Raw genomic sequence first — 12,018 nt, forward strand, 5'->3', positions numbered from 1 at the left:
TAAAGCTTCTACAGCAGGTTTAATCAAGCAGAAGAAAGAATCAGTAAGCTAGAAGACAGAACATTTGAAATTATCCAGGCAGATGAGCAAAAAGGCAAAATGTTAAAGAATGAAGAAAGCTGAGGGAATTATGGTACATTAGGAGATCAAAATTCACATAATAGAAGTTGCAGAAGACGAAAGACTAAGAAGAAAGCGTATTTAAAGACATAATGGTGAAAAAATTTCTAATATGGGGATAGATGCCAACATACAGGTACAGGAAGAGCATAGGTCTCCAAACAAATTCACTCCAAACAGGAGCTCACCAAGACATATAATAATAAAACTATCAAAAAATCAAAGACAAAGTTATGCGGTAAGCAAAGTATTTATTTCTTCCTCATTTCAGAAAGACAGCTGTGTTTGGTAACATATTCTTGGTTAGTAGTGGTTCTCCTTCAGCACTTTATATACATCATCCCACTCTCTCCTGGCATGCAAGATTTCTGCTGAGAAATTCACTGAAGATCATTTTGGCACTTGTTTGTATGTGATTCAAACCATCAAAAAATCAAAGACAAAGTAATGAGATACACAAGAGATAAGAGTTAAAAACTCTCAATAAACTAGGTATTGAAGGAACATACCTCAAAATAATAAGAGCCATTTATAACAAACCCACAGCCAATATCATACTAAATGGGCAAAAGCTGGAAGCATTTCCCTTTGAAAACTGTCACAAGACAAGGATGCCCTCTCTCACCACTCTTATTCAACATAGTATTGGAAGTTCTGGTCAGGGCAATCAGGCAAGAGAAAGAAATAAAGGGTATTCATATAGAAAGGGAGGAAGTCAACTTGTCTTTCTTTGCAGATGACATGATCATATATCTAGAAAACCCCATCAACTCAGCTTCTTAAGCTGATAAGCAACTTCAGCAGTCTCAGGATACAAAATCAATGTGCAGAAATCACACTCATTCCTATACACCAGCAACAGACAAGCAGAGAGCCAAATAATGAATAAACTCCCATTCACAATTGTCACAAAGAGAATAAAATACCTACAAATACAGCTGACAAGGGAAGTTTTCTCTCCTTCAAGGAGAACTACTAACCACTGTCCTTAGGAAATCAGAGAGGACACAAGCAGAAGGAAAAACATTTCATGCTCATGGATAGGAAAAATCAATATCATGAAAATGGCCATACTGCCCAAAGCAATTTATAGATTCAATGTTATTGCTATTAAACTACCATTGACATTGTTCACAGAATTAGAAAATACTATTTTAAAATTCATATGGAACTGACAAAGAGCTCTTAGAGCCAGGACAATTCTAAGCGAAAAGAACAAAGCTGGAGGAATCGTTCTACCCAACTTCAAACTATACTACAAGGCTAGAGTAGCCAAAACAGCACAGTACTAGTACAAAAAAAGGCACATAGACCAATGGAATAAAATGGCGAACTCAGAAATAAAACTGCACATCCACAGCCATGTGATCTTTGACAACTCTAACAAAAACAAGCAATGGTGAAAGTTTTTCCTATTTAACAAATGGTGCTGGGAGAATTTGCTAGCCATATGCAGAAAATTGAAACTGGACTCCTTCCTTACACTTTGTACAAGAATAAACTCAAGATGGATTAAAGACTAAAAAAACTCAAGAAGAAAATCTAGGCAATACCATTTAGGACACAGGCACGGGCAAAGAATTTGAAAAGACAGAAATTCTTCCGAATTGTTTTTATGAGATTCACCCACAAACCGCAAATAGGCTGGGTGCGGAGGCTCACACCTATAATCCCAGCACTTCTGGAAGCCAAGGTGGGAAGATTAGAAGTCAGGAGTTCGAGACCAGCCTGACCAACATGGTGAAACCCCGTCCCTACTAAAAATACAAAAAATAGCTGGGCGTGTTGGTGCGCACCTGTAATCCCAGCTACTCAGGAGGCTGAGTAAGGAACTGGGGAGGCGAACTTGAACTTGGGGAGGCGAAGGTTGGAGTGAGCCAAGATTGCACCATTGCACTCTAGCCTGGGTGACAGAGTAAGACTCCATGACAAAAAACAAACAAACTAAACAAACACCAAAAAAAACGCAAGTAACCAAGGCAATCATGAACAACAAAATAAAGAAGCTGGAGGCATTACACTACCTTTTGTCCCCAAAAGCACACAACAAAACCAAAAATAGACAAATAAGATTACATTAAACTAAAAAGCTTTTCCACTTAAACAAACAAGGTGAAGCGACAACCTACAAATAAGGACAAAATATTTGCAAGCCATATATTCAATAACAGATTAATATTCAAAATATATCAGGAATTCAAATAGTTGAATAGCAAGAAAAAGTAAGTTAAAAAATGGGCAAGGAAACTGAATAGACTTTCCCAAAAGAAGACAGACAGATGACCAACAGATGTAGGAAAACATGCTTAACAACCCTAATTATTAGGTACATTCAAATTAAAACCACAATGAGATGTTATCTCACACTTGTCATAATAGCTTTTATCAAAAAAATAAAAAATAAATGTTAGTAAGGATGTCTAGAAAACAGAACCCTTGGCCACTGTTGTTGGAAATGTAAATTAGTACAGCAGTTATGAAAAGCTGTGTAGAGGTTCCTGAAAAAACTAAAAAGAGAACCACCATATGATCCAATTATCGCACTTCTGAGTATTTACCCAAAAGATTTGAAATAAGCTTGTTGAAGAGATACCTGAAGCCATGTTCACTGTAGCACTATTCACAATAGCAAAGTTATAGAATCAAGCTCAGTGTCCATTAACAAATTAATGAATAAAGAAAATGTGGCATATACCTACAATGAAATACCATTCAGCATTAAAAAAGAATGAAATTATCTGTCATTTGTGACAACATAGATGAAATGGAGAATATTATATTTAATGAAATAAGCCAGGCACAGAGAGACAATTATCACCGGTTCTCACATAATATGTGGAATCAAAACCAACCAAAACTCACAGAAACAGAGAGCAGTGTGATTACAAAGGCTGGGAGATGAGAGGAATGACAGATGATGGTCAAAAGGTAGAAGAACTCAGAAAAAAAGCAATATTTTTTTGAGATCTATTGCACAGTGTCATAGATACAATTAATAATAGTGTACTATAAATTTCAAAATGGCTAAGAGAATAAATTTCAAATGGTTTTACCACATAAAAAGTTAAGTATTTGAGGTTATGGATATGTTAATTGATTACTTCACATTGTATTAATAAATTATAACATTATTTTGTACCCCATAAAAGCATGTAATTGTGAATTGTCAATTTAAAATAAAATAAAAAAGCAAGCAAACAGACAAACGTAAACCTAAAGGGAAAGACAATGTACGAATTAAGATTTCAAAATAATAGAACTTTTAAGAGCATGAAAGAACAATCGTTAGAGGAAAGACTCACTTACCTACATACATGTAAAATCCCTAAATAAAGTACTAACAAACTAAATTCAACAAAATGAGAAATGGATAAGAAATCCTACAAAACTTTATAAACAATAATTATCCTTTTGCCAACTTTCTATATAATGGTGAAAATAGAAGCATTTCTTGTTAAAATCAGAAATAACATAAGGGATTTTTGTTATTACAGCTTCTATTCACTATTGTATTTCTTCTGTCAAGCAGATTATACAGAAGTGTGGTAATAAAGGTTTAAATAACTAAAAGAAATAAACACAAAATAATTATGAGAATCTGTAGACTAAACTCAGAATGAATAAATGTGAGGCTGTTTGACATAACGTCAGGATACCAAGGGCAGGTATGTTCCTACAAGCAGCAATTAGTTGGAAAAATTTTAACGTAAACAACATATATATGAGAGAGTACATTTCAATGGAATTCTGCAGAGCATATATGGCCATGTAACCAAGTTAAGGCTTAGTCAGCACCAATAAGCTTTCCTCTTGCCGCTTTAAATTCAGTACAGCAGGCCACTCTCCTCCTCAAAGGAAACCACCTTTTTTTTTTTTTTGAGACGGAGTCTCGCTCTTGTTGCCCAGGCTGGAGTGCAGTGGCGCAATCCCAGCTCACTGCAACCTCCGCCTCCTGGGTTCAAGCGATTCTCCTGCCTCAGCCTCCCTAATAGCTGGGATTACAGGCACCCGCCACCATATCCGGCTAATTTTTTGTATTTTTAGTAGAAACGGGATTTCACCATGTGAGTCAGGCTGGTATCAAATCCTGACCTCAGGTGATCCGCCCACCTCAGCCTCCCAAACTGCTGGGATTACAGGCGTGAGCCACGGCGCCCCGCCAGGAAACCACTATTCTTAACTCTTAACAGCAAAGATAACTTATGCCTGCTTTCAAAATTTCATAATTGAAATCATAACATGTATATTCTTATATATCTTTCTTTGTTTAATATCATATTTGTTAGATTTTTATTACATACTGTGTATAATATTTTTTCATTGCTTTTAAAACCCCTAGAATCAACACATTATATTTGCTTTAGCCTTTCTACGGTTGCTAGTCATTTTCTTAGACTAGTCTTTGACTATTCTGGGTAAGTCTACTTTGACTATATTGAGTCAGCCTTTCCATGCATGCATGTCTATATTTCTGTTTTGTATATATCTAGGAGTAAAATTACTGAGTAATATTGTATGCTTAATGAATACTACTAAACAGGTATCCACAATGATTTTAGTAGTTTTCATTTCCACACTATCATATGAAAGTTCTTGTTGCTCCATATCTTCATCAAACTTTTTAAAATTTTATCGTTCTGTTTTATTATTGCCCATTGTTATTACAATGCTTTAGTTAACATCACCTTATAAAATATTTACTATACAACAGGAAAAGATAGTTGTCATTCTTTAGAAAATAGATAAATGTGTGGTAAACTGAAATTAGCTTATAGCTAAATATGAACAGATTCTCTGTCTTTAGTTTCTTATTCATAAGCTTATCTCCAGTATATTGATGTGAAAATAGAAAATGAACTTATACAGACTCAGAAAAGTACAATTGTAATGAATAAGAAAGTAGAAGACATTTTACTGTCTGAAAAGCTGCAGTAGCTAAGAAATTTTGAAAAATCTTTTTAGTTTTTCATGCATTAAGTAGATTACACCATCAACAGCACCTACAGGCACAAACCTACTGGTTACGTGTAATCAATTCAATAATCATGAGTCATTTGTTAGTCAGAATATAGCATATAATGGTGTATTCAGTATAGTATTAGTTATTCTGATAATTTTCTTTTAAAATTTTAAGGTATTTTTATATTCATAACATCTTATATTAGTGTTCATTGGGTGTAGTATACAACAAGTCATCTTAAAGTGGGTGGTGGTGTAAAATATTTAGTATAGGAAATCAGGAATCTATTTTTCTCTTCCTTATTTCTTTTTCTTTTTTTCTGTTTTATTGGGATATAATTGACAAATATAGGCTAGTCATATTTAAGGTGTACAACTTGATGCATTGATACATGTGTACATTGTGAAATTATCACCACAACCAAACTAGTTAACATGTATTCTTTATTCATTTATGTGTTGGCAGACATTTACATTGTTTGCATATCGTGGCTACTGTGAATCATGCTTCAATGAACATGGGAGTGCAGATATCTCATTGAGATACTGATTTCATTTTCTTTGGTTCTATACCCCAAACCGAGATTGCTGGAGTATATGGTAGTTTTTTAAGTTTTTTGAGAAACCTCCATACTGTTTTCCAAAATGGCTGTACCAATTTACATTCTCATCAACAGTGTACAAGGATTCCCTTTTCTCCACATCTTCGTGAACACTGGTTTTTTTGTCTTTTTAATAATAACCATTTTAACAGGTATGAAGTGATATCTCCTTGTGATTTTAATTTGTATTTCTCTGAGGATTAGTGACATTGAGCACATTTTATATACTGTTGGCCATTATATGACTTCTTTGAAGAAATGTCTATTCAGTTTCTTAACCCATTTTAAAAGCCAGTTATGTGTTTTTTATCGAGATGTTTGAGTTCCTTGTATATTTTGGATTTTATCCACTTACCAAATTTATGGTTTGCAAAACTTTATTCCCATTTCATAGGTTGTCTTTTCACTCTGTTGATTGTTTCCTTTGCCGTGCAGAAGCTTTTTAGTTTGATGTAATCCCACTTTTCTATTTTTCTAAAAATGTCTATTCTTTTGGTGTCATATGCAGTCATTGCCCAGACCAATGTCAAGACCAATCCTTTTTATGTTTCTATTCAGAAATTTTACAGTTTCAGATCTTACATTTATGTCTTCAATCCATTTTGAGTTAATTTTTTATATAAGATGTGAGATAGGAGGACAATATCATTGTGGATATTCAGCTCCCAAAACTATTTATTGAAGAGGCTGTGCTTCCACCATTGCATTTTCTTGACAACTTTGTTGTAGATGAGTTGAATGAAAATGCTTATATTTATCTTTGGGCTCTCTATTCTATTTTATTAGTCTATATGTCTTTTAAATTTAATGCAGTACCATATTGTTTTTATGATTTCATCTTTGTAATATAATTTCAAATCAGAAAGTGTGATGCCTCCAACTTTGTTCCTTTCAAAATCACTTTGGCTATTTTGTGTCTTTCATGGTTTCAGATGAATTTTGGGGTTCTTTTTTTATTTTTGTGAAAAATGCCATTGGCGGATAAGGATGGCATTGTTCACTTTTGGTATTATGGGCATTTAACAATATTAATGTATCCAATCCATGGACACAGCATATATTTCTATTTACATATGTCTTTGTCTTCTTTTGTTTATTTTATCAATGTTTTATAATATTCAATATACAAGCCTTTCATTTCTTTGGCTAAGTTTATTCCTAAGAATTGTTTGTTGTTGTTGCTATTGCCGATAGGATTGTTTTCTTAATTTTATTTTTGAATAGCTCTTTGTTAGTGTATAGAAACACCACTAAATTTTGTATCCTGTAACTTTACTGATTTTGTTCATTAGTTCTACAGTTTGTTTTTCTGTGAGTCTTTTATGTTTTTATATATGATTATGTCATTTACAAACAGAGATAATTTTGCTTCTTCCTTTGTGATTTGGATAATTTTTATTTTTTTTGTTGTTCTAATTTCTCTGAATAGAAGTGATGTACAGTGGGTATCCTTGCCACATGCTGGACGTTAGAAAAAGAAGCTTTCAGAGTTTCCCCATCTGTTATGCTGTTATCTGTAGGTTTTTAAAATACAGCTTTTAGGCCGGGCGCGGTGGCTCACGCCTGTAATCCCAGCACTTTGGGAGGCCGAGGCGGGCGGATCACAAGGTCAGGAGATCGAGACCATCCCGGCTAAAACGGTGAAACCCCGTCTCTACTAAAAATACAAAAAATTAGCCGGGCGTAGTGGCGGGCGCCTGTAGTCCCAGCTACTTGGGAGGCTGAGGCAGGAGAATGGCGTGAACCCGGGAGGCGGAGCTTGCAGTGAGCCGAGATCCCGCCACTGCACTCCAGCCTGGGCGACAGAGCGAGATTCCGTCTCAAAAAAAAAAAAAAAACACACAGCTTTTATTGTGTTGAGATAAGTTTCTTCTATACCTATTTTGCTGAGTGTTTTTTTAATCATGAATGGATGTTGGATTTTATACATTGCTTTTTTATGCTTCTATTGAGATGAGGATATGGTTTTAAGCTTTCATTCTGTTAATGTGATATATCATTGGTTGATTTGCATATGTTTAACCATTTTTGCATCCAATAATAAATCTTACTTTGTCATGGTATACAATCCTTCTAATGTGCTGTTGGATTCAGTTTTATAGCATTTTATTGATCAGTTTTGCATCTGTATTAATCAGGGACATTAGTCTGTAGTTTTTATTTTTCCTGTGTTTTCTTTGGCTTTGTTATTAAAGGGATGTTTCCTGTCCTCATACAATGAGTATGGAAGTGGTCCCACTTCTTCTATTTTTGGAAGGATTTCAGAAAAAAGGGTATTAATTTTTTGTTGAATGTTTAGTAGAATTCATGCTAAAGCCATCTGGTCCTAGGCTCTTCTTTGTTGAGACTTTTGATTACTGATTCAATCTCTCTCTCTTTTTTTTTTTTTTTTGATCTGTTTAGACTTTCTATTTCTTCTCGAGCCAGTTTGGTACATTATATGTTTCTAGAAATGTATCTATTTTTACTAGATTATCTAATTTGTTGATATATAATTATTTATAATCATCTCTTATGATCTCAGATATCTGTTGTAATGTCTCCTCTTTCTGATTTTGAGTTTTTTTGAAAACATAAAACTTGACAAGTTCTTAGCTAAACTAAGAAAAATGAGAGAAGACTTGCATTTTCATCATATCATCTATGGAAGTCTCCATTTATACAGCAACAAATATGTATTTTGCATACTAAAATTAATTTCAGGGAGGTTATGTTGAGGATAAACACAATTCATTCTATGTTACAAAATGTTTCATCATTCTTTGTCTTTTCCATATTGTGAAGCATTTTTTCACAAAATAAGATTTCTCTCCTTTATTCTCAGTAAGGTTGGAAAAATTCTTTGGTTCAATTAACTGTTATTACTTAGACATGAGCTATATGGACTCAATTATTCTTTCTACAAAACGATATGATATCTATTTAGTTAAGTGTACAATCTAGTAGAATTTAACACATGGAGACAGCAATATAAGGGTATGAATTAAATTATCAAAACCAGTGGAAATAATTCTTGGGTGCTTGGAGAGAAAAAAATAAAAAGAAATCAAACCAAAATGAGGTGCAATTACACATGACATAAAGAAAATTTTTAAACATTTTTTTCATGTGGCAGATTTGAATGACAGATAAAGAAAAGTAGAGCTAATAACAGATGGCACTAAAAAGGACAAAAATTTCTAATGTTGCTTATTTTAACCTCTTCCATTAAAAACAGTTGAAATGGGAACCTATAGAAGTGCAAAACTAGGTGGAACAGAGAAAACAATGCTACAGAAAAAGAGTATGCAGATATGTAGATGTTGAAGGTGTTAAATTGATCAGGCACTGATGATATGTTGAGAAAAATAAGCTAGTAGATTTTGATTCTTGTAATTTATTGAGAATAAGCAAGACAACTGAAGAGTCTTTTAAAGTTAAAATAAAAAACAATGAAAAGTTTATATTAAAAACTACATATTTATGTATGTATTGTGTTTGCGCCTTAATTAACAACAACAACAAAATATCCAGAAAGATTTTCTAATCTGGAAAAAAAGGTCTTAGAATTTTTTTTTTCAAAAATTAAAAAGCCTTGTCATCCTAAATAATGGCTTTGGAAAATACAAGGACAATAATAGGTACAACAGACTTTTATATTAGCAAGATTTTTTATTTTGTTTCACATGTTTATCAATACATTGGGAAAATTCAAACTATTCAAGTGAACTATTCGACTCACAACTAGTTATAGAAGGAGTGTGTACGTGGCTTATCTACAATATTATTATCAACAGTTCAGGGTGAGAATGGAAGACATAATAAGAAATGCTCTGTAGAGACTTGGCCCAGTTCTGTTTAACATTTTCATTCATGACCTAGATAACAACATGGAAAATGTATTCTTTAACTAAAAAAAAAAAAGGTTAGCACACTAAACCATTGTAAAATACTAGAAAAAATAATTAGAAAATATAGGAAAGTGTTTGGTACAATATAAGCCAATATTTAACATGTGGAAATTGGAAAATAATTTTCACTAATATGGCAGTAAAGTAGAGGTATGTATTTCCTGAGTAGAATATAAGTCGAAACTATATTAACTTAATACATTGTTTATAAACCCAGAAAGTGTGTTTGTTGTAATAAAAGCTTATATATTAAACTCTCTTAGACTCATCTTACTTCAGCTGAAGACTCCACTAACTTAAACACATTTTGAAAACTGGAAGTAATTTTTAAAGTATCTGAAGCTGGAAATGAGAGGTTTTAAGAAGATACTAATTATCATGATACTACAAAAATCAGAATATAATAAAATAGATTTAATTGAAATAATTAGTAAAAGAAGAATTCTATGATTTGGGTATTAGAGGTAGGAAGCTTTGTACTCTTCAGTCTGAAAATTTTGAAGATTAGTATTTTTTCAATTTGTGTCTGAGCTCAACTATGTCTGACAGTTGCTTTTAGCTTTATAACCCAGCATAGTCATACCATTTTTAATAAAACACCCAGAGATGAAACCCCTTTGTGTTGATTCCGTTTCACCGCTTGATAGCTGTGGGTTGGAACAATTTTAAGATGACCTCCAGTGACTCTCCCTTGTACAATCCTCTCTCCTTGAGTGTAAACAGGACTGGTTATTTCTTGTAACCAATAAAATGTCACAAAGATAAAGGGATTGTACAGATGCACTGAAGTTCTAAGTCGGCTGACTTTAAGTTAATTAAATTATATATTAGTTGAGGCAGATCATTTAAATTAATCAAAAGGTGAGCCCTTTATAAAAGGATCTAGAAGTGGGCTGCAAGGAAATGAACTCTGACAACAACCTGAGGGAACTATGAAGCTACTCTTTTCCCCATTCAACTTCCTGGTGAGAATGTAGCCTGCCCAGCCTTAATTTTAGTCTCGTGAAATCCTAAGAAGAAGGTCCAACTATACCATGCCAGGATTCCTAATACAAGGAAATGTGAAAAAAATAAATGTGTGTAGCTTTTGCTACTAGAGGAAATTAGTTATGCAACATAGAAAACTAATATAGGAGGTTTGGTCTAGTAAAAACCTAAGAACTTAAGACAATTAGCTTAACATCTCACAAACAAATGTAGTCCCACTTCTTCATGTTTACCTGGCAAAGCAAAATGGGATCACATTATATTCTACACTACCCTATCAATTCAAATGATAAATGATTTATTTAAAAAGTGTTCTATAAATTTAAGTGCAAGCTCCTAATGAAAAGCTTCTTTGTGTGCACAGCTGTGACTTTGTAAACCCATCTTCAGGTTCTTTCTTTACTCTGTCCAGGCACATTTACTTCTGATTCCATCTTTGCTCTCTGATTTCCCTTTGCATTTGTACTTTAGATCTTCCCTTGTTTCTGTTAATGCTTTATACCAATTTGTATTTTCCAGGACTCAATCTCTCACCATGGCAGCCTCACTTCTGTTCACTTCCATTCCCATATGTTTTCAGAAATTAAAGTCAGACAAAATCCTACAGATAATTCAACTAATCTACTTCATGGTTGAAATTTTGTATGCATCACTTTCTGTTCTCTCTCCATCTGCCACTGGTCATAAAATTCCATGTCATGTAATGCTCCAATACCTCATCATAAAAATTGAGGTCTATTTTGTTTTGTGTACTTTCAGGAAGATATCTTAATAAGGATGAAGTGTCACACGTTGACACTCTTTGCAGGCTGTTCATTTAGAGCATCTTTCTTAAATATTTATTATGTATCTAGGTAGTAGAAGCAGTGGGTGTCAGAAAGGTTTATTTATTTATTTATTTATTTATTGTAAGAATAATAAATTTCCATTTGAGGGAAATTTAAGAAAGTTAAGAAGTTGAAATATTTGATACAATCCAGGTCAACACAGGAAAATGGTGAAGTCAGAGAATCATTTCTTTACTTTGGTGTCCTTGCCCATATTATGCCCATTGTCAGCAACTGTAACCACTTTAGTTTCCTTGCCCTCTGAAGTTCTCAACGTCAGAAACAAGTAACAGTTAGGAATCATTCATTCTTGTGTCTTGAAAAGCTGATTACATTTTAGTCTGAGTAAGATATATTAAAAATGTGCCTCTCATACTTGTCCATTTTAGTCTTTGCATGTATATTAGTCAGGGTTCTTCAGGGAATCAGAACCAGTAGGAGATGTGTGTGTGTGTGCGTGTGTGCGCGCATGTGTGTGTGTATGTGCATGTACACACACGTATATCCACACCCAGAGAGAAAGATTTATTATCAGGAATTGGCTTACACATTATGGAGGCTGACAAGTCCTAAGATCTGAGGTTAGCAAGCTATAGACCCAGGAGAACCCAGGGTTTAGTTCTAGACTCCTGA

General features: G+C 33.7%; 1 long non-coding RNA gene across 1 annotated transcript in view; it reads left to right on the forward strand.

Annotated features, from left to right (window-relative positions):
* Window positions 1–12,018, forward strand: part of LINC02008 (long intergenic non-protein coding RNA 2008) — a 477,534-nt gene that overhangs the window by 320,804 nt on the left and 144,712 nt on the right. The window lies entirely within an intron of this gene.

The sequence above is a fragment of the Homo sapiens genome, chromosome 3 (assembly GCF_000001405.40).
Source record: "Homo sapiens chromosome 3, GRCh38.p14 Primary Assembly".
NCBI classification, from domain to species: Eukaryota; Metazoa; Chordata; class Mammalia; order Primates; family Hominidae; genus Homo; species Homo sapiens.